Genomic DNA, 23101 nt, shown 5'->3' with positions numbered 1-23101 from the left:
GCTCAGGAGTTCGAGACCAGCCTAGGCAACATAGTGAGATCCTGTCTCTACCAAAAACAAAACAAACAAACAAACAAAAAACCGGCATGGTGGTGCACGCCTGTAGTCCCAGTTACTTGGGAGGCTGAGCTGAGAGGATCACTTGAGCTCAGGAGGTCGAGGTTGCAGTGAGCTATGATCGCACCACTGCACTCCAGCCTGGGCGACAGAGTGCGACCCCGTCTCAAAAATAAAAAATAATTCCGAACGTGTTGGCTCACGCCTGTAATCCCAGCACTTTTGGAGGCTGAGGCAGGCGGATCACTTGAGTTCAGGACCACCCTGGGCAATATGGTGAAATGCCGTCTCTACTAAAAATACGAAAATTAGCTGGGCATGGTGGTGCACGCCTGTAATCCCAGCTACTCGAGAGACTGAGGCGGGAGAATCGCTTGAACCTAGAAGGCAGAGGTTGCAGTGACCCAAGAACATGCCACTGCACTCCAGCCCGGGTGACAGAGCGAGACGTCCGTCTGAAAAAATAAATTAATTAATTAAAATTTAAAATATAAATTAAAAAAGAAAGAAAAAGAAAGGAAAATTTAAAGGAGGAAGACATATTCTGGGAGGAGAAAACAAGTAAGAGTTTAGCACTCAAGGGAGACTTTTTGAATGGAGATCCACTGTTGCCTGTTTGAAAAAGCTCAACCTTTGGGAATAAAATCAGCTAAATCTTAGAGATATTCCTCTCCACTCTGCAACCGCCACTCAAAAACCAGACATGCTTTCTGGTTTGAGAAAAAAAGTATCTTCTTTCGAGAAACAAGGCCCGCCCACTTCGAAGCAGGCACCGCCCCCAGGGACAAGACCCGCCCACTCCGAGACCGGCTTAGAGACAGGCTGAGCCCCGGAGCTGCGCACTGGAAAGGCGCCAGCGTTGCCATGGAGATGGCCGCCGGCCAGGGAGTAATGAATAGGGACCTCGCGAGGCTGAGGTTCCCACCCACCTCACCTGCACCACAGTCCTTTCTCTTCTGGGGCGGTAACGAGAAGGACCCATCCCATTTCCTCCGTGTCTCACAAGCGCCCGGTGCTGGACTGGACACTGCACCCAACGCGTCACATAGCGGCCCCATTTTATAGATACGCTGATTGAGGTTGGAGGGGGGGTGGGAAGCGAGGAGAGGACAGGAGCGGGAATTTTACCCTGAGGACGATCTCAACCGTTGCAAAACATTAATTACTAGCCAGACGCCGGCGACTCACACGCCTGTGTTTGGCGAGCTGATTCCTGCGTGCAGACCTTGGAGCCAGCCAGCGTCCTGCACGCTTGCCTGAGCGGGAGTCTCCCCCGGGCCCCCGAGCCTTCTTCCTTTCAGGAACAGCCTCACTCCTCCCACCCTTCATCCCTTTTTATTCATCCACAAATGCTTGTTAAGCCCCTTGTCTGTCCCGGGCAGCCACCTGTGGGCAGAGCCGTTAAACAGGCAAAACAAGCCCCTTCCCTTGTGGAGTTTTTATTCTAGTGGCAGGGGAGATAGGGAATCCATGGGACATTCACACATTGCCTAGTGTGTGTTCGTGATAAGTACCATGTTGAAAATTAAAGGCCGGCGCCGTGGCTCACGTCTGTAATCCCAGCACTTAGGGAGGCCGAGACGGGAGGATCACCTGAGGTCAGGAGTTCGAGACCAGCCTGACCAACATGGCGAAACCCCGTCTCTACTAAAAATACAAAAAAGAATTAGCTGTGCGTGGTAGCAGGCGCCTGTAATCCCAGCTACTCGGGAGGCTGAGGCAGGAGAATCGCTTGAACCCAAGAGGCGGAGGTTGCAGTGAGCTGGGATTGCATCACTGCACGCCAGCCTGGGCGACAGAGCGAGACCCTGACTGAAAAAAAAAAAGAAAGAAAAAAGAAAAAAAGAAAAGAAAAAAGAAAATTAAGGCAAGGTGAAGGCCAGAGGGTGACGAGAGGCTATTTTAGCCTGGGTGGACAAGACAGGTGTCTCCAGGAAGCTGTAGGAGTGAGGGACGTAAGCGAAGCTGGATGCAAACCTCGGGAGGGCTTTCCAGGCCGGGGCAACCGCAAGTGCAAAGGCCCTAACTCGGGACAGAGCGGAGAGGGCGATGTAACGCGGAGAGGGAGGTAGGAAGGGAGGGAGGCACCGGGGTCCAGGCAAGCAGGGCCTTGAGGACGGGGGTGCACGTGGGGGTCATTAGGGAAGCTCTGGGTGTTATTCCGAGGGAGATGGGGAGCCATGGACGGGAGGGTGTTGGGCTCAGGAGTGAGGTGATATGATTTCTGGGTGCTGGAGGCTGCACGGGAGAGGGGGGGGCTGGAAGCAGGAGAGCCAATGAGGAGGGGGAGACGGTGGGACTGGCATCGGGGAGTCCAGCCCTGAGCCAGTCAGCGACAAGCCCCGCCCCCTGCCCAGGGAGCCGCCTTCCCAGCCGGAGGTCGAGGGGCCCAGGCCCCCCCTCTAGCACCTGGGCCCCCGCCCCCCTCCTCCCGGCTCCCCGCCTCGGTCTCCCCAGCATCCGGCCCGGCCTCCACGCGGGTCCCACAGGAATTTCTCTAAAACACTAATCGGATCATGTGACTCTCCTGCTTAAAACCTTTTCAATGGCTTCTCAGTGCACTCGGAATGAGTCCAAGCTCAGCCTGGACTCGGAGGCCCGGCACGGTCGCTGGGTGCAGCTCTGGCCTCTCTCCGCCACACTGGCCTCCTTTATGCCCTAATGCAAGACCCCCAACCCCATCCCCCGCCATGTGCTGGGGAAGCAGAGCGCAAACCCCCTTCCATGTGCTGTGCTCTCTGCTTAAAGTTTTCTTTTCTATCACCTCCATTCCTGAATTCATTATTATTTCTCCTCCTCATCCATCTTTCAAGCCTTCAAAATATAGATGATAAAATAGTACACACATCCTTGGTATATACCCAAAAGAATTAAAAACAGCTGTTCAAACAAAAACTTACACACCAATGTTTATAACAGCACTATTCACAATAGCCCAAAGATAGATGCAACCCAAATATCCATCAACAAATGAATGGATAAACAAAATGTAGGTGACAGCGGCCCTCCACATCCGTGGGTTCTGCACCCTCAGATAGGAGGCTGTAAGGGACTCGATCACCCAGGGATTTGGAATCTGAGGAGAGTCCTGGAACCAATCCCCTGCGGACACCGAGGGATGACTGCACTCACGCAGAGGAATACTATTCAGCCACAAAAAGGAGTGAAGAACCAACTCATGCCATGGCACGCATGAAGCTTAGAAACATTATGCTGGCCAGGTGAGGTGGCTCACGCCTGTAATCCCAGTGCTTCAGGAGGCCGAGGTGGGCTGGTCATCTGAGCCCAGGAGTTCAAGACCACACTGGGCAACATGGCGAGATCCCATCTCTACCAAAAACAAAAATCAGCCAGGCGTGGTGGTGCATGCCCGTAGTCTCAGCTATCTGGGAGGCTGAGGTGGGAGAATCGCTTGAGCCCTGGTGGTGGAGGTTGCAGTGAGCCGTGATTGCACCAATGCACTCCTGCCTGGGCGACAGAGAAAGACCCTGTCTCACTTTTTAAAAAGAGGGGGGCAATGTCCTTTGTGGAGGAGGAGGAGAAACTTTTATGCAAAGTGAAAGAAGCTAGTCACAAAGGAACACATATGGTATGATTATTCCATTGATATGAAATGTCCAGAATAGGCAAATTCATAGAGACAGAAAACTGATTATTAGTTGACAGGGGCTGGGGATAGAAGGGAGTGTGGGAATGACTGCTAATGGGCTTAGGGTTTGTTTGGGCTGATGAAAAGGTTCTGGAACTAGGCTGGACATGGTGGCATACGCCTGTAATCCTAGCACTTTAGGAGGCTCAGGTGGGAGGATGGCTTGAGACCAGGAGTTCAGATGAGGCTAGGGAACAAAGCAAAACCCCATATCTACAAAAAGAAAGAAAGAAAGAAAGAAAGAGACTCACGCCTGTAATCCCAGCACTTTGGGAGGCCAAGGCAGGTGGATCACCTGAGGTCGGGAGTTTGAGACCAGCCTGACCAACATGGAGAAACCCTGTCTCTACTAAAAATACAAAATAAGCTGGGCATGGTGGCACATGCCTGTAATCCCAACTATTTGGGAGACTGAGGCAGGAGAATCGCTTGAACCCAGGAGGCGGAGATTGCGGTGAGCCGAGATCACGCCATTGCACTCCAGCTTAGGCAACAAGAGTGTAACTCTGTCTCAAAAAAAAAAAAAAAAAAAGAGTTCTGGAACTAGACAGCGTGGATAGTTGTGCAACATTTACTTAGTGCCATTGAGCTGTGTGATTTAAAATGGTTACAATTATAAAGTTTAAGTGTATTTTACAAAAAACATGTTAAAATACACACACCCATATTCTGACTACCAGCTTTGAAATATTAGGGATACAAATGACTCCCCGCGGACCACCCCCTCCAAGATCTGATTGCCTCTCCTATCTCAAACATAACTTATATCTTGAATTTGGTGCCTATTATTACCACAGACATTTTTAGACTTTTATTCCATGGTATATATTCTTTAAAATATAGTATTATGGACAAGGTGCTTTTAAAAAGCATGCTCCTAGTCTGGGCACGGTAGTTAATGCCTGTAATCCCAGCACTTTCGGAGGCTGAGGTGGAAGGATTGCTTGAGCTCAGGAATTCAAGACTAGCTTGGGCAACAGAGTGAGACCCCATTCCTATTTTATTTATTTATTTATTTATTTATTTATTTATTTATTTATTTATTTGAGACGGAGTCTTGCCCTGTCGCAGGCTGGAGTACAGTGGCACGATCTCGGCTCACTGCAACTTCCGCCTCCCAGGATCAAGCGATTCTCCTGCCTCAGCCTCCGGACTAGCTGGGATTGCAGGCGCGCACCACCATGCCCAGCTAATTTTTGTATTTTTAGTAGAGACGGTTTCACCGTGTTGGCCAGGCTGGTCTTGAACTCCTGACCTCAAGTGATCTGCCTCCCTCGGCCTCCCAAAGTGCTGGGATTACAGGCATGAGCCACCACGCCCGGCCTTTTATTATTTCTTTTAAATCATGCTTCTGATCCACTATCATTTCTCCTATCTGTTTGTGAAGTGAAACTTCTTACTGAGACTCGCTAGGTTTGGAAACTTCTAGTATCTCACTTTCATCCTCTGTAAAAGGGAAAAATAATGGTACCTACTTCATAAAGCAAGGAGTAAATGGGATCATATTTGTAATACGCTCACAAGAGTAAGCTATTATTTTTCATTTCATTTATTTTTATAATCCCCATGTATTTCTTTTTCCTTTACTTTTTTCTTTTCTTTTTTTTTTTTTTTTTTTTTTTGAGGTGGAGTTTTGCTCTGTTGCCCAGGCTGGAGTGCAATGGCACGATCTCAGCGCACTGCAACCTCTGCCTCCCAGGTTCAAGCCATTCTCCTGCCTCAGCCTCCTGAGTAGCTGGGATTATAGGCATGTGCCATTATGCCTGGCTAATTTTTGTACCTTTTGTAGAGATGGGGTTTCACCATGTGGGCCAGGCTGGTCTTGAACTCCTGGCCTCAGGTGATCTGCCCACCTGGGCCTCCCAAAGTGCTGAGATTACAGGCGTGAGCCACCATGCTTGGCCTCCTTTACTTTTTTGAGTATATAGCACATTCACACGGTTTTGAATTCAAAAAGTACAAAAAGCCGGGCACAGTGGCTAATGTCTGTAATTCCAGCACTTTGGGAGGCCGAGGCAGGTGGATTGCTTGAGCCCAGGAGTTCAAGCCCAGCCTGGGCAACATAGGGAGACCCCATCTCTACAAAACATACAAAAATTAGCCAGACATGGTGGCACACTCCTGTAGCCCCACCTACTCAGGAGGCTGAGGTGGGAGGATTGCTTGAGCCCGGGAGGTCGAGGCTGCAGTGAGCCGAGATCACACCACTGCACTTCCTCCAGCCAGCCTGGGCAACAGAAGGAGATCTCATCTCAAAAGAAAACAAAACAAAACAAAAAAAAACAAACAAACAAAAAAACAAGGATAGAGTGTAGTAAATTTCTGTCCTGGAAGTTAGACTATGTTGCCAGTTTCAGTTTCTTCTCTCTTGTTCCAGTTCATCTGGACACAATCCCAGAACACACACAAACCCAGAACAGGCTGCAGGCTGTACTTGACCTTCCATTTTTCTCTTCTACAGGTTATCACTTGGAGACTTACCATATATGCACACGGTGAGCTTCTTTGTTCTTTTCTATGGACACCTAGTATTCCACTGGGTGGATCAGTCATGATTTATTACTCAGCTCTCCTACAGATGGGTGTTTAGATTGGTTTCAGCTGTTTGCAGTGATGTGCAGTACTGCAATGATTAACCTGGTGCAGACATTATTTTGTGCAGTTCCGAGTAGATGCCTCTGAAGAATAAATTCCTGGAATTGCTGGCTCGGTAAGAATGTTCCAGGTTCTACTTGCCCCAGCCGTGTATGAAAGGACCTGTTTGCTCGCACTCTCATTAGCACTGTTTGGCAGGAATGTAACCTTAAACAAACAGCGTCAAGCTGTGGGTATACTCCTGCAAAATGCCTTTTCTGCTCCAGAATAGGTTTCTGAGATGTCGCCAGGTTGGTTTCATTCTGCCAATTTCAGCTGAAACATTGCTGCCTCCAGGAAGACCTCAGGAATCACCTCCTCCCAGTGTGAGCTCAGCTCAGTGCCTTCTGTTCTCTGCATTCCCATAGCAGTTCCCTGCCTCGGAGCACACGTTCCCCCACATGCACTCCAGCGTGATTGATCCGTATCTATCTGCCTTCCCCATCAGACAGTGAGCTCCGGTTTTTGCCACTGTGACTCCAGCACCAAGGACAGCACCAGCCCATAGTAGGTGCTCAGTAAACATTGGCTGCTAAGGTCCCAGTGAATATGCGTATATGTAGACAAATATATGCAGGCTGGCCCGTAGTAGATATTCAGTAAATATTGGTCGCTTAGGGTTGAATGAGTATATGCAGGGGCTTTCACAAAGGGGGAAACCGAGGCTCGAAGTGGGAGAATCCTTCACCCAGACAGCCAAGGGAAGGCTGGAGCCAGGTTCTGATCCAGAGTGCCAGTACTTCCTGAAGCCTCTGTCACTGATTCATTCATCTTCCTCCCCCGGCCACTCCCCTGGCCTGACACAGTGCCTGGCACAGACAGGACCTGATAAATGTGTATTTGTTGAAGGAATGAATGAATATGTGTGTGTGCATGTTGGGGAGCCGGGAGTAGCTGGACCCAGTGTTCCAGGCCCTCAGCACCCTCCGCCCTCTGGGAGCCCGGGGGACAGGCCCCCAGCCCCCTCCCCTCACAGGACCCTGTAGTGCAAGCTGCCTTCCCTCCCCTCTCCAGGTCCCCCGTCCTCCCGCTTCCGGCTTCCCAGCCAGTCTTTCCTCTTTCAGGCTCCGAGGAAAGGCCAGGTTTCCGGGGGGAAGGCTTAGGCAGTGACACCGAGCCCAGCCTCCTCCTCCACCCCCCACCACGCTCAGGCCCCCCTCCCTCCCCGCCACCACCGTCCGCGTTTGGCCGGCCGTGGGGAAGGAAGAAAGGAGCCAAGGAGGCGAGGTAAGAACCCAGCCCCAGCGACCAGGACCAAGCCCCAGGCCCAGGGCTGAGAAATCCTCAAGGCCTCGACCCGGCCCCAATTCTGCTGATCATGCCTTCGGGGAGCTGCAGGCTTGGCCCGGAGGAGATCGGCCCCCCTCTAGGACCTGGGACCCCCGACCCCCACCAGCCTCCCTCCCGAGTCCAGGGGTCCGGCCCTCAGTCGCCTCCTCCCTGGGGATTCCCGGCAGCTGGGTCCCCAGCCCCCGCCTCCCCCTTGTCCTGGGAGCCCAGCCCCCTCCCCAGCCCCTCCTCCACCGGGACCCAGGAATCCACACCTCCTCCATACCAGAGTCCAGATTCCCCAATCCGTCATGACCTGGACCCAGGAGTCTCAATCCCCAGCTCCCATCCCCATCAGTCCCAAGAGTCTGGGCCCCTAGCCCCCTCCCAACTCAGACCAGAAGTCTGAACCCTCCTACTCCCCGACCTCTCCCAGCCCCTGGCATCTGAGAACACACTCTATTTCCGGGGCCTACCGGCTTCAAATCCCACCCCCTCCACTCAGGCCCCATGGGCTGTGTCCCAGCCCCTCCCAAAACGTTCAGCCTGGCCGGGGGACCTGGAGCAGAAGCGGTTCGCTGACTTTGTCCCCCTCCGTGCCTCTGCCCAGTTCACTCCCTCTGTGTCTCTGTCTCCCTGTCTCTCCGGCCCCCAACCCGCCACTGCTCTTCTGATCTCTGCTCTTGCACTATCTCTGCCTCTGGTTCTCCAAGTCTCTTTGTTTCCTCTTCTCTGTGTCTCTGTCTCTCTGCTGGGTGTTCCTCACTCTCCTCTGTCTCTTCTCTGCTCTGCCTTTCACCATCCTGTCTTTCTGCGACTCCTGGTCTCTGTCTGTCCATCCCCACTTCTCTGTGTCTCCCATCTCTGCCTTCTCCTGTCTCTATTCCCTGCTCTGTCGCTCTGTCTCTGATCTCTCTCCTCCTGTCTCTCCATCTCTGGCCTCCCCTCGGTGTCTCTCATCTTTGTCTCTGTCTCATATCTCTCTCCTGGCTAAATACCTGACCCTCTCTGCCTCTCCATCTCTGACTGTCTCTGCTTCTCTTTCTGCCACACCCCACGCACCTCTTTTTATCTCTGCCCCGCTTCCCATCTCTCCCCTCTCTCCCCACAGGCATGGATCCGCAGCCTCCTCCACCCGCCCAGGGCAGCCCACCTCACCGTGGCCGAGGCCGGGGCCGTGGCCGAGGCCGTGGTCGGGGCCGTGGCCGTGGCAGGGGGGGCGCTGGAGCCCCTAGGGCGCCCCTGCCCTGCCCCACCTGCGGCCGCCTCTTCCGTTTCCCCTACTACCTCTCCCGGCACCGGCTGAGCCACTCGGGGCTCCGGCCCCACGCCTGCCCGCTGTGCCCCAAGGCCTTCCGCCGGCCGGCCCACCTTTCCCGCCACCTGCGCGGCCACGGGCCCCAGCCCCCGCTGCGCTGCGCCGCCTGCCCCCGCACCTTCCCAGAACCGGCCCAGCTCAGGCGCCACCTGGCTCAGGAGCACGCGGGCGGCGAGGTCGAGCTGGCCATCGAGAGGGTGGCCAAGGAGACGGCCGAACCCAGCTGGGGCCCGCAGGACGAGGGCTCGGAGCCGCCCACCACCGCTGCAGCAGGGGCCACGGAGGAGGAGGCGGTCGCAGCGTGGCCTGAGACGTGGCCTGCGGGGGAGCCTTCCACGCTGGCTGCGCCCACCAGCGCCGCGGAGCCCCGGGAGTCGGAGTCGGAGGAGGCCGAGGCCGGGGCAGCAGAGCTGAGGGCCGAGCTGGCGCTGGCGGCCGGGCGGCAGGAGGAGAAACAGGTCCTGCTCCAGGCAGACTGGACGCTGCTGTGTCTGCGCTGCCGCGAAGCCTTCGCCACCAAGGGCGAGCTCAAGGCGCACCCGTGTCTGCGCCCCGAGGGCGAACAGGAAGGGGAAGGGGGGCCCCCGCCACGCCCCAAGCGACACCAGTGCTCCATCTGCCTCAAGGCCTTCGCCAGGCCCTGGTCCCTGTCGCGCCACCGGCTGGTCCACTCCACCGACCGCCCTTTCGTGTGCCCAGACTGCGGCCTGGCCTTCCGCCTCGCCTCCTACCTCCGCCAGCACCGCCGCGTCCACGGCCCCCTCAGCCTGCTGGCCCCGCTGCCCGCGGCGGGCAAGAAGGACGACAAGGCCTCGGGTGCACGGAACTCAGCCAAGGGGCCGGAGGGGGGCGAGGGGGCGGAGTGCGGGGGTGCCTCGGAAGGGGGAGAAGGGCAGAACGGAGGCGACGCCGCCCCGGCTCGGCCCCCCGCCGGGGAGCCCCGCTTCTGGTGCCCAGAGTGCGGCAAAGGTTTCAGGCGCCGGGCGCACCTGCGGCAGCACGGGGTGACCCACTCGGGAGCGCGCCCCTTCCAGTGCGTGCGCTGCCAGCGGGAGTTCAAGCGCCTGGCCGACCTGGCGCGCCACGCACAGGTGCACGCGGGGGGCCCAGCCCCGCACCCGTGCCCCCGCTGCCCGCGCCGCTTCTCGCGCGCCTACAGCCTCCTGCGCCACCAGCGCTGCCACCGCGCAGAGCTGGAGAGGGCCGCCGCGCTGCAGGCACTGCAGGCCCAGGCCCCGACGTCGCCGCCACCGCCCCCGCCGCCCCTGAAGGCCGAGCAGGAGGAAGAAGGGCTCCCGCTGCCCCTCGCAAACATTAAGGAAGAGCCGCCCTCTCCGGGGACCCCACCCCAGTCCCCGCCGGCTCCCCCTGTCTTCCTCAGCGCCTCCTGTTTCGACAGCCAAGACCACTCAGCCTTCGAGATGGAGGAGGAAGAGGTAGACAGCAAGGCTCACCTGCGCGGGCTGGGGGGCCTGGCCTCCTGACCTTCGCCGCCCTGCCCTCCGCCGCTCCGCCTGAGCTCCCCGGTTTGCAGAATGGAGGAGGGAAGTTGAAGGAGCCACCTCCTCTGTCTACCCACCCGTCCCCTTCACGCCCTTGACACTAAGGAGTGGGGGGCCCTGGACTGCCCCTTCCTCCCCCATCGCCCGCCCCCAGAACCCCTGATGCTGGTTAGGAACCGCTCACCCCAACATGTGTCTTAAGGCAGGACGACTTGGAAAAAAAGGCGGCGGACAGTTGGCCAGAGGGATGGAGACTGGTGGGGACGCCCCCGCCTCCCTGTCCCCCGTTTCACACACTGGACACCATCACCTCTTTGGAACTGCCAGACCCTGGGGGTCCCCAGTGAGCAAAGGTCTGTCCTTGTCCCTTTGTCTGTCTGTGAATAAATGTGAGTTCGTGAAATCCAAGAGAGCGAGGTGTTCTGTGGAGGTGGGGCAGGCTGGGGGCGCTGGGGCGAGTCAGGATTTGTCCAGCCAACTCTGAACTTGGGTTCAGAGCAGGAAGGACACAGATGCATCAGAAAATATGTGGCCCTCAACCAAGCAAGAAGCCGGTGAAGGCTGGGTTGAGAAGAAACAGGAATGTGAGAAGATAGATCATCGTCACCGCTGCCCTGTGGAAGCTCCGCGCGATTATCCTCACCACTGCCCTGTGGAAGCTCCGCGCCTTACTCAGTCAATCTCTACCACACCCTTACTCTGTGTCAGCGGTGGTACTAGGCACTGAGGAGGAGTCCAATACCTTCCTCTGAAAGAGCTGGAATTCTAGCCCTGCATTGTCCAACATAACTTTTTTTTTTTCTCAGAAAAGTTTCCATAATCTTTCTTCCCTCACTCTGTTGCCCAAGCTGCAGTGCCGTGGTGCAGTCATAGCTCACTGCAGTCTCAAACTCCCAGACCCAAGCAATCCTCTTAGCCTCTCAAGGAGCTAGGACTACAGGTGCATGCCACCACACCCAGCTGATTGTTTCATTTCTTGCAGAGACGGAGTCTTGCTATCTTGCCCAGTCTGGGAGAACTTTTTGTGATGATGGGATATTCTACATCTTCACTGTCCAATATGATATCCAGCAGACACACGTGGCTATTTCCGTTTAAATTTAGAATATGGAAATGTAAAGACATTAAGATGAAATAAATGTAAAAGTTCGGTTCCTCAGTCACACTCTTCACTCTTTTTTTTTTTTTGAGAGAGAGAGAGAGTTTCACTCTTGTCGCCCAGGCTGGAGTACAATGGCACGACCTTGGCTCACTGCAACCTCCACCTCCCAGGTTCAAGGGATTCTCCTGCCTCAGCCTCCCGAGTAGCTGGGATTACAGGAGCCTGCTACCACAACCAACTAATTTTTTGTATTTTTAGTAGAGACGGGTTTCACCACATTGGCCAGGCTGGTCTCGAACTCCTGACCTCAGGTGATCCACCCGCCTCAGCCTCCCAAAGTGCTGGGATTACAGGCGTGAGCCACTGCACCCGGCCTCAGTCTCACTATTTCAAGGGCCAAAGAGCCCCATGTGGCTGGTGGCTGCCATATTGGACAGGACAGATCTAGAACATTACATCATTGAAAAAAGTCCTAGCAGGATGCAATATAGCACCAGGTATAAGGGCTACCAAGAGTAAACCACCAGACAGTATGATGGCAGAGCAGGACTGGGGGTTGGGGCTTCTCTGGCCAGGCGATGTTTGATTTGAATGAAGATGGAGGGAACCAGGTATGAGAGAGAAACATCTGTGAGAAGACAACACCAGACAAAGAAAAAACAGGGGCAAAGGCTAGGAGGTAGGTACTACAGGATTTTTTTTTTTTTTTTTGGACACAGGATCTTGCTCTATTGCCCAGGCTGGAGTGCAGTGGTGCGATCACAGCTCACTGCAGCCTCGACTTCCTGGCTCAAGGGATTCTCTCTTCTCAGCCTCCCAAGTAGCTGGGACTACAGGTGTGCACCATCATGCTTGACTAATTTTTATTTTATTTATTTATTTATTTATTCTTTTGAGACGGAGTCTCGCTCTGTCACCCAGGCTAGAGTGCGGTGGCGTGATCTCCTCTCACTGCAAGCTCCACCTCCCAGGTTCACGCCATTCTCCTGCCTCAGCCTCCCGAGTAGCTGGGACTACAGGCACCCGCCACCACACCCGGCTGATTTTTTGTATTTTTAGTAGAGACTGGGTTTCACCGTGTTAGCCAGGATAGTCTCGATCTCCTGACCTCGTGATCCTCCTGCTTCGGCCTCCCAAAGTGCTGGGATTACAGGAGTGAGCCACTGTGCCCGGCCATGCTTGACTAATTTTTAAATTTTTTGTGGAGATGGTGTCTCCCTATGTTGCCCAGGCTGGTCTTGGACTCCTGGGATCAAGGAAGCCTCCTGCCACAGCCTCCCAAAGTGCTGGGATTACCAGCATGAGCCACTGCACCTGGCCATTACTACATATTTTAGAAACTGCAGGTAATTGGAGGTGAGGTGGGAAGTTTCAATTTCTACACATCTTCAAGTTGTTGGGTTTTTTTGGTTTTTTGTTTTTTTGGTTTTTTTTTTTTCGAGATGGAGTCTTGCACTGTCACCCAGGCTGGAGTGCAGTGGCACGATCTCAGCTCACTGCAACCTCCGCCTCCCAGGTTCAAGCAATTCTCCTGCCTTAGCCTCCCGAGTAGCTGGGATTACAGGCGCCTGCCACCGCACCCAGCTAATTTTTGTGTTTTTAGTAGAGATGGAGTTTCACCATATTGGCCAGGCTGGTCTTGAACTCCTGATCTCGTGACCACCTGACCTCATGATCCACCCACCTCAGCCTCCCAAAGTGCTGGGATTACAGGCATGAGCCACCGCGCCTGGCCCAGTTGTTTTCTTTTTACCCGTTTATTTAGGTTCCAGGAGTGGAAGGAAGAGGGATATCTCTCAGCTAATCTTCCTTAAACACCTTTCTCTTTCCTTCTCTTGACATCCTGCTTTCCCCCAGCACCTTCGATGGTTCTCTCTTGCCCTATGCAAATAATGATGGGCGGGGTGCAGTGGTTTATGCCTATAATCCCAGCACTTTGGGAGGCTGAGGTGGGTGGATCACTTGAGGTCAGGAGTTCGAGACCAGCCTGACCAACAAGGTGAAACCCCGTCTCTACTAAAAATACAAAAATTAGCCAGGTTTGGCAGCGGGCGCCTGTAGTCCCAGCTACTCAGGAGGCTGAGACAGGAGAATTGCTTGAACCCAGGAGGTGGAGGTTGCAGTGAGCTGAGATTGCAACACTGCACTGCAGCCTGGGCGACAGAGCGAGACTCCATCTCAAAAAAAAAAAAAAAAAAAAAAAAGACGTTGACTACTTAGGTACCTGCACACCCACAAGAAACAGCAAGAAAGGGGCAGAGCCTCCCCCTTTTCCAGGACAACAAACTGAAGCTCTGAGAGGGAAGCTGTTTCCCCAGTGCGTCAACAATACTAGATGGATCAAAGGAGGCAGAGAAGCAAGAAAGATGGTGATTGAGGGTCAAGGTGGGAGAGGATGACACCGAAAGCTTCAAATAATTCCACCTTCAATGATTTCACACATCTTGGCTGAGCCCTTAGCACTGTGCCGGCTTGTATGGATTAGTTTGTTTGATTTTTTTTTTTTTTTTGAAACGGTCTCACTTTTTTGCCCAGGCTGGAGTGCAGTGGCGCAATCATAGCTCACTGCAGCCTCCATCTCTTGGGCTCAAGTGATCCTCCTGCCTCAGCCTCTGGAGTAGCTGGGACTACAAATTTGTATCACCATGCCTGGCTAATTTTTATTTTATTATTTTATTTTATTTTATTATTTTATTTATTTTATTTTATTTTATTTTATTTTATTTTATTTTATTTTATTTTATTTTAAGACAGAGTCTCGCTCTGTCGCCAGGCTGGAGTGCAGTGGCGGGATCTCAGCTCAGTGCAACCTCTGCTTCCCGGGTTCAAGCAATTCTCTGCCTCAGCCTCCCAAGTAGCTGGGATTACAGGCACCCACCACCATGCCTAGCTAATTTTTTGTATTTTTAGTAGAGATGAGGTTTCACCATCTTGGCCAGGCTGATCTTGAACTCCTGGCCTCGTGATCCGCCCCCCTCGGCCTCCCAAAGTGCTGGGATTACAGGTGTGAGCCACCGCACCTGGCCTACTTTTTTCTTTTGTAGAGACGAGGTCTCACTATGTTGCCCAGGCTGGTTTCCAACTCCCGGCCTCAAGCGATCCTCCCCACTCAGCCTCCCAAAGTGCTGGCATTACAGTCGTGAGCTACTGTACCTGGCCTGTCCCAACTGTTTATCACTGAGTTTAAGCCCAGTGCTGGATGTTGGGGCTAGTATTTGATGACACCCCTTAGGCACTCTTTTGACACCAACCATCCAGCTCAGGAGATGAACAATAACCCAATATTGGCACGAATAGATTAGGGTTACCAAATGAGACTGGTTCCCCAAAGAACTAGATCCTATGAGAAACTATAACCAAGCGTCAAGTGTTGGGGAGATGGGAGGCTGAAGTCTGCTTTTATTACATCAAAGCTACTCCCTCCTCAGGAACCATCAGTGGCTCCCTATTACCATATCTTAATGTGGGCTCCTATTTAGTGAGAGCCTACCATGGCCAGACACCTTATCCATACAATGTCATGGACAAAACCCATCAAACGAGGGAATTACATAGCTCTACTTATAGAAGGGCCAGATTGGGGCTTAAAGCAAAGAAGCCATTTGTCCTGCTTCAGTAATCACTACTATGAAATGAGCCTTGCATATTAAATGGGTTACTTAGTGGAAAGGGCTGAAGACAGTGCTTGGGCCTGGTAAGTAGTTGTTGCTGTTGGCCGGGCGCAGTGGCTCACACCTGTAATCCCAGCACTTTGGGAGGCTGATGTGGGTGGATCATCTGAGGTCAGGAGTTCGAGGCCAGCCTAGCCAACATGGTAAAACCCCATCTCTACTAAAAATACAAAAATTAGCCAAGCATGGTGTCGTATGCCTGTAATCCCAGCTACTGGGGAGGCTAAGGCAGGAGAATTGCTTGAACCTGGGAGGTGGAGGTTGCAGTGAGTCAAGATCATGCCACTGCACTCCAGCCTGGGTGACAGAGCTAAAAAAAAAAAAAAAAAAAAAAAAAAATGGAGAGAAAAAGTTGTTGCTGTTGGTTGTTGCTGTTGGTACTTTTAGCTATTATTCTCCCTGGCTGGTATATACATGATCTCAATGAATCCTCACTGCTCCACGGGGAGGCAGGAAACACCCTCCCCATTTTCTGGATGCAGAGAGGAAGTTCCTTGTCCAAGATATCACGGTTACAAATTGGCAGACCTGGTCCTCGAACCCTTACCCAGGCCAATCTTACCCTCCCCGTCAGCTCCCACCACACAGCCCACTTTCAGGCCCCTTCCTACACACATGTTGGTCTCCAGGACCCGCGGGCCCCACCTCGGCTCTATGGGTTTGCCCACCCTTCTCATTGCAGATCTGCCGCCTCGAAGAGAAACATTTTCAGAACCAAATACAGAATTGACAAAGAGAAGACGGCCTTGGAGATAGAGCCCAGCTTTTTCATTGCGCAGGTGGAAAACTGAGGCCAGATGCGTGGGACAGATGCAGAGAATGATAAAGTCACCAAATGACGGTGATTATTGAAGGAGTTGTGGTTATGTAGGGAACACGACCTGCCATTTGTCTTTCACTTGCTGAACACTTTACACGTACGATCGCAACCACATTTGTTTGTTTTTGCTTGTTTGTTTGTTTTTTGAGACGGAGTTCACTCTTGTTGCCCAGGCTGGAGTGCAATGGCACGATCTCGGCTCACCGCAACCTCCGCCTCCTGGGTTCAAGTGCTTCTCCAGCCTCAGCCTCCCGAGTAGCTGGGGTTACAGGCATGCACCACCATGCCCGGCTAATTTTGTATTTTTAGTAGAGACAAGGTTTCTCCATATTGGTCAGGCTGGTCTCGAACTCCCGACCTCAGGTGATCCACCCGCCTTGGCCTCCCAAAGTGCTGGGATTACAGGCGTGAGCCACCGTGCCCAGCCTGCAACCACATTTGTTAATAATAGGAACCCACTTCTTGAGTATTCACCCTATGTCTGCTTCAAGGGTACTACGTAGATTAGCCCATTTAATCCTCACAACAGCCACATAAAATAGATACTATTATTGGCTCTGTTTTCGTTTTGCCTTTTCATAAACAGCTTTACTGAGGTACCATTTACATATAGACTTCATCCATTTGGTCGTACAATTCGATAATTTTTTTTTTTTTTTTAGACAGAGTCTCACTCTGTTGCCCAGGCTCAAGTGCAGTGGCTTGATCTCGGTTCACTGCAACCTCCGCCTCCTGGGTTCAAGCAATTCTCTGCCTTAGCCACCCAAGTAGCTGGGATTACAGGTGCCTGCCACTACGCCTCACTAATTTTTTTTTGTATTTTTAGTATGAACGGGGTTTCACCATGTTGGCCAGGCTGGTCTTGAACACCTGACCTCATGATCTACCCACCTCGGCCTCCCAAAGTGCTGGGATTACAGGCGTAATTTGATAATTTTTAATAAATGTACAGAGTTGTGCCTCTATCACCACAATCCAATTTTAGAATATTTCCAGGCTGGGTGTGGTGGCTCAGGTCTGTAATCCCAGCACTTTGGGAAGCTGAGGCGGCAGGAGCACTTGGAGCCAAGAGTTTGAGACCAGCCTGGACAACAAAGCAAGACCCTGTCGCTACAAAACATTGAACAAAAATTAGCTGGCTGTGGTGGCAAGTGCCTGTAATCCCAGCTACTTGGGAGACGGAGGTGGGAGGGTGTCTTGAGCCCAGGAGTTGAAGGCTGCAGTGAGCTATATGAGTTGAAGGCTGCAGTGAGCTATGATCACACCACTGAACTCCAGCCAAGGCCACAGAACAAGATCCTGTCTCTAAAAAATAATAATAATAATAAATAAATTGATGAATTAATTAAAAATTTTAAAAAGAATATTTTGATCACCTCAAAAAGACATTCTGTGCCTGTTAATAGTCATTTTCCATTCCCACCCTCAGCTCTGGGCAACCACGAATCTATTTTGTCTCTATGGATGAACCTATTCTAGACATTTCATATAAATGGAATATGCCATATGTAGCTTTGGTGACTGCCTTCCTCCTCTTAGCATAATGTCTTCAAGGTCTATTCACATTGTAAATTGTGTCAGTTCAGTACTTAATTGCTTTTTAGTTGTTGTTGTTGCTGTTATTGAGAGAAGGCCTCACTTTGTTGCCCAGGCTAGAGTCCAGTGGTGCTATCATGGCTCACTGCAGCCTCAACCTCAAGTGATCCATCTCTCCCCAGTTTCCTGAGCAGCTGGGACCACAGGGTGCATCATGACACCTGGATAATATTTTTATTTCTTGTAGAGATGGGGGTCTCACTATGTTGCCCGAGCTGATCTTCAACTCCTAGGCTCAAGCAATCCTCCCACCTTGATCTCCCAAACTGCTGGGATCAAAGGCATGAGCCATTGCACCCACCCTCTTCATTCCTTTTTTACAGCTGAATAATATTCCACTGTATGGATACACCACACATTGTTTATCCTCTCATCCGTTGATGGGTGTTTGTATTGTTTCTACTCTTTGGCTGTTTAAGTAATGCTGCTGTGAACATGCATGTACAAGTCTTTTTTTTTTGTTTAGAGACGGAGTCTCGCTCTGTTGCCCAGGCTGGAGTGCAGTGGCATGATCTCTGCTCACTGCAAGCTCCGCCTCCCGGGTTCATGCCATTCTCCTGCCTCAGCCTCCTGAGTAGCTGGGACTGCAGGCACCAGCCACCACACCCAGCTAATTTTTGTATTTTTAGTAGAGACAGGGTTTCACCCTGTCAGCCAGGATGGTCTCAATCTCTTGACCTCATGATCTGCCTGCCTCGTCCTCCAAAAAGTGCTGGGATTACAGGCATGAGCCACCATGCCCGGCCTTTGTTTTTTTTCTTTTTTTTTTTTTTTGACGGGATCTTGCTCTGTTGCCCAGGCTGGAGTGCAGTGGTGTGCAGTCTCGGCTCACTGCAGCCTCTGCCTCTGAGGTTCAAGCAACTCTCCCACCTCAGCCTCCCGAGTAGCAGGGATTACAGGGGCACACCACCACACCCAGCTAATTTTTGCATTTTTAGTGGAGACGGGGTTTCACCATGTTGGCCACGCTAGTCTCAAACTCCTGACCTCTGGTGATCCACCTGCCTCAGCCTCCCAAAGTGCTGGGATTATAGGCCTGAGCCACTGCGCCCAGCAACAGGTCTTTGTGTGGGCATATGTTTTCATTTCTTTGGGGCAGATTTCTAGGAGCAGAATTGCTAGGCTGTGTGGGAAGTGTGTGATTCACTTTTTAAGAAAGTGCCAGACTGTTTCCCAAAGTGGCTGTACCATTTACAGCCCACTAGCGATTATGAGGTTCCCAGTAGGCCCTGCTTTCCTGAGAAAACTCAAGTACAGAAATGTGAAATGAATTAGCCAAGGCCACACAGCTAGTAAGTACCATGCCAGATTTGATCCCAGGCATTGTGACTGCAAAGCCTGGGCTTTTAAACTTTACACAATGCTTCATCCTTACCTCATTCATTAAGTTTTTTTTTTTTTTTTTTTTTTTTGGAGACGGAGTCTCACTCTGTCACCCAGGCTGGAGTACAGTGGCACGATCTCAGCTCACTGCAACCTCTGCCTCCTGGCTTCAAGCGATTCTCATGCCTCAGCTTCCCGAGTAGCTAAGATTACAGGCATGTGCCACCACTCCCGGCTAATTTTTTTATTTTTAGTAGAGATGAGGTTTCACCATGTTGGCCAGGCTGTTCTCGAACTCCTGACCTCAGGTGATCTGTCCGCCTCAGCCTCCAAAAGTGCTGGGATTAAAGGCGTGAGCCACTGCGCCCGGCCTCATTCAGTCTTCCATTCACTCATCCTAAAACTCATTACTGAGCCTCTACTATGTGCCAGGCACTGTCCAAGGTGCAGCTTATTCATTGGTTAACAAAATAGATGAATCCCTCTTTAGGTGGGGCTTCCATTCTAGTGAGGGAAGTCAGGCAAGAAAACATAGCAAGAAAGTAAATTATAAAACGTCTTAGAGAAAGAGAAATGCTATGGAGAAAGACAATGCAAGACAGGGCATGTAGGAACTTCAGTTGTGTAGGCCAAGAGCTGAACGAGAGAGCAGTGCAGATAACTGGGATGTGTCCCAGAGGAAGGGCACATCTGATGCAAAAGTTCTGAGGAGGGGACATAGCTGGAGTGTTCAAGGAGCAGAGGGGCCAATGTGGCTGGAGAGGAGTGAGCAAAGGAGGGAGCAATGGGAGAGGAGATCAAGGAGGTGATGGGGTACCAGATTGGGTAGAGAGTCATGAGAACCCAATTTCTGATCAAAATGAGATGGAAATCTTGGAGGAATTCATGCAGAGGCTGACAGGATTCGACGTTCCTTTTTCCTTTTAGCGTGTCATTATAAAAATATAAAAACATAAGGAAATAAAAATAATTGTGCAGCGAATGTCTATGTACCCATTCTCTACATTCATCCATCCATCCATGAACCCATCCATTCCCACATCCATCCATCCTTCCATACACCCATCCATCCATCCATTATCCATTCATCCATTCACCCATTTATCCATCAGCCATCCATCTATACATCCATCCATAATCCATCCATCTATTCATCTATTCATCCACCCATCCATCCATCATTTACCCATCTATTTATCCATTCACTCATCCATCATCCATCCATCTATCTACTCACTCATCCAACCATTTACCCAACCATCCATCCATTCATTCACCCATCCACCCATTCATCCACCATCCATTCACCTATCCATCCATCATCCATCCATCTATGCATCTATCCATTTAGCCACCCATTCATCCATCCATCCATCCATCCATCCATCCATCCATCCATCCACCCATTCATCCATCATCCATTATCTATTCATTCATCCATCATCCATTCACCTATCCATCTATCCATTCACCCATCCATTCATTCATTCATTTATCCATCTGCCCATCTGCCCATCCATCCATCTATTCATTCATCAATTGATTCACCCATTCATCCATTCATCCATCCATCATCCATCCATCCATTCACCCATTCATCCAACCATCCATTCATCCATCCATCATCCATCCATCCATTCACCTATCCATTCATGCATCATCCATCCATCTATCCATCATTGATTCATCCATCATCCATCTTTATAAAATTAATACATTTTATTTTTTAGAGAAGTTGTAGGTTCATAGCAAAATTGAACAGAAAGCACAGAGAGTTCTCATATATTCATCTTTCTCTATGCAACTTGCAATTCTCAAAGCAACATATCAGTTCACTCCTAAACACTTCAGCATGCATAACATTTTTTTTTGGTTTTTAAAAAACTTTTTCTTTTTTGTTTGATGTTTTATTAGCATGCATAACATAACAAGATATCAAATATTTAAGCTTCTTGTCATTAGTAAAATTAAAATACAGTGAAATGCCACATTTCCCAAGTTACCATTTGATACATTTGGACAAAGACATACACCTGAATAACACAAACTCCCCTCTCCTGGTATGACAGATTCTCCCTGGCTTCTGTGTGAATAGCCTGGTGGGGAGTGTGGCAAAAGTACCCATAAGCCCACCTGGTTTTCTTTCTTACATAAACTTTTTTGTTTAGAAACATTTAAGACGGGATAGTAGAGCTGCAGTGAGTGATAGTAGACTTGCTACAGACCCCTCACCCAATTTCCCCAAATGTTCTCGTCTCCCATTACCATGGCACGTCTGTCAAAACCAAGAAGCAAACACTAGTACAGCACAAAACTCTGCCCTTTACTCAGATGTCACGAACGACCTTTTTCCATTCAGGATCCCACCCAGGATACCACATGGCGTCTCACCGTCATGCCTCCTTAATCTCTTACTGTCTGCCACTGTTTCTCAGACTTGCCTCGTTCTGATGACTTTGACAGTTTAGAGCAGTCCTGGCAAAGCAGAGCACGGAAGTGTGCTGTCCCAGGGATCTGGGGCTGCAAGTCTGGGGTCAAGGTGTCGGCAGGGCCACACTGCCTCTGAAGCCTGCAGGGCAGGGGTGTCCAATCTTGTGGCTTCCCTGGCCCACATTGGAAGAATTATCTCAGGTCACACATAAAATACACTAACAGCTGATGAACTAATACATAAATCAATCAATAAATAACAAAAACGCAAAAAAAAAAAAACCTCTTTTTTTTGAGATGGAGTCTCGCTCTGTTGCCCAGGCAGGAGTGCAGTGGTGTGATCCTGGCTCACTGTAACCTCCAACCCCTGGGCTCAAGTGGTTCTCCTGCCTCAGCCTCCCGTGTAGCTAGGACGACAGTTACACACACAAAATGCCCCTCTGGGCCAAGCAAGGTGGCTCACACCTGTAATCCCAGCACTTTGGGAGGCTGAGGTGGGTGGATTGCTTGAGGCCAGGAGTTTGAGACCAGCCTGGGCAACATAGCAAGACACCACCTCTAAAAAAAAATTAAAAATTAAAAATTAGCCAGGCCTGGTGGCATACACCTATAGTTCCAGCTATCTGGTAAGCTGAGGAGGGAGGATCGCTTGAACCCAGGAGTTAGAGAACCATTCTGGGCAACCCAGTGAGACCCTTTCTCTTCAAAAAACATTTTTTTTAAATTGAGATGGAGTTTTACTCTTGTTGTCCAGGCTGCAGTGCAGTAGCATGATCTCAGCTCACTACGACCTCCGCCTTCCAGGTTCAAGCGATTCCCCTGCCTCAGCCTCCCAAGTAGCTGGGATTACAGGCGTGCGCCACCATGCCCAGCTAATTTTTTAATCTTTAGTAGAGATGGGGTTTCACCATGTTGACCAGGTTGGTCTTGAACTCTTGACCTCAGGTGATCCACCCACCTTGGCCTCCCAAAGTGCTGGGATTACAGGCATGAGCCACCACGCCCAGCCAAAAAAATTTTTTTAGTATGAAAAAAAAAATCCCTTCTCTTCGCCTCCTATCAGGAGGTGCGTGTTCTCATGTCTGCTCACCCATGCTTGACCACCCTGGTCACCTGGCAGGGGTGGTGTTTGCCAGCTCTCCCCACTGTATGTGACCCCCCTTCCTTTCCATTCATCTAGTCTTTGTAAACAAGCCGCCGAGTGCAGCCCACGGGGCATTTGGGCTGTGGGGGAATTAAGCTCCCTTCTTCAGAATGGGGGAGTAGATAGACAGTTCTTAAGAATACAGCCGGGCGCGGTGGCTCACGCCTGTAATCCCAGCACTGTCGGAGGCCAAGGCGGGTGGATCACGAGGTCAGGAGACTGAGACCATCCTGGCTGACACGGTGAAATCCTGTCTCTACTAAAAATATAAACAATTACCCAGGTGTGGTGGCGGGCACCTGTAGTCCCAGCTACTGGGGAGGCTGAGGCAGGAGAATCACTTGAACCCTGGAGGCGGAGCTTGCAGTGAGCCGAGATCGCGCCACCGCACTCCAGCCTGGGCAACAGAGTGAGACTCTGTGTCAAAAAAAAAAAAAAACATTAGCTGGGCACATTGGCGCGTACCTGTTATCCCAGCTACTCGGGAGGCTGCGGCAGGAGAATTGCTTGAACCCAGGAGGCAGTGGTTGCAGTGATCGTGCCACTGCACTCCAGCCTGGGGGATAGAGCAGGACTCTGTCTCAAA

At 51.3% G+C, this 23101-nt stretch overlaps 1 protein-coding gene across 5 annotated transcripts, besides 4 other annotated features; it reads left to right on the top strand.

Moving 5' to 3' along the window:
- Positions 951–1000: a silencer, noted in NCBI's record as "silent region_11045". NCBI's record gives its function as "represses an Ori minimal core promoter by ATAC-STARR-seq in GM12878 lymphoblastoid cells {active_cell/tissue: GM12878}" and the evidence as "EXISTENCE:reporter gene assay evidence [ECO:0000049][PMID:35858748]".
- Positions 2438–2497: a silencer, noted in NCBI's record as "silent region_11044". NCBI's record gives its function as "represses an Ori minimal core promoter by ATAC-STARR-seq in GM12878 lymphoblastoid cells {active_cell/tissue: GM12878}" and the evidence as "EXISTENCE:reporter gene assay evidence [ECO:0000049][PMID:35858748]".
- Positions 6165–6459: a silencer, noted in NCBI's record as "tiled region #13032; K562 Repressive DNase matched - State 8:EnhW". NCBI's record gives its function as "represses a minimal TATA promoter and a strong SV40 promoter by Sharpr-MPRA in K562 cells {active_cell/tissue: K562}" and the evidence as "EXISTENCE:reporter gene assay evidence [ECO:0000049][PMID:27701403]".
- Positions 7171–7310: a silencer, noted in NCBI's record as "silent region_11043". NCBI's record gives its function as "represses an Ori minimal core promoter by ATAC-STARR-seq in GM12878 lymphoblastoid cells {active_cell/tissue: GM12878}" and the evidence as "EXISTENCE:reporter gene assay evidence [ECO:0000049][PMID:35858748]".
- On the top strand, positions 7514–11588 carry ZNF579 (zinc finger protein 579). 5 transcript variants are annotated; one of them, XM_017026411.3, is made up of 4 exons: positions 7514–7567; positions 8721–10363; positions 10632–10782; positions 10926–11588. In XM_017026411.3, exons 2-4 carry the CDS (start codon positions 8723–8725, stop codon positions 10985–10987), a joined length of 1854 nt encoding a protein of 617 aa, XP_016881900.1. In that variant the 5' UTR covers positions 7514–7567; positions 8721–8722; the 3' UTR covers positions 10988–11588. The 5 variants fall into 5 exon arrangements, with proteins under 5 accessions (XP_016881900.1, XP_016881899.1, XP_016881898.1 ...); XM_017026410.3 differs by having other exon boundaries at positions 10931–11283; XM_017026409.3 differs by lacking the exon at positions 10926–11588 and having other exon boundaries at positions 10632–10917.
- The last annotated feature ends 11513 nt before the right edge of the window (positions 11589–23101 follow it).

The sequence above is a fragment of the Homo sapiens genome, chromosome 19 (assembly GCF_000001405.40).
Source record: "Homo sapiens chromosome 19, GRCh38.p14 Primary Assembly".
In the NCBI taxonomy this organism is placed as follows: domain Eukaryota; kingdom Metazoa; phylum Chordata; class Mammalia; order Primates; family Hominidae; genus Homo; species Homo sapiens.
This window is presented reverse-complemented; position numbering and strand designations above follow the sequence as displayed.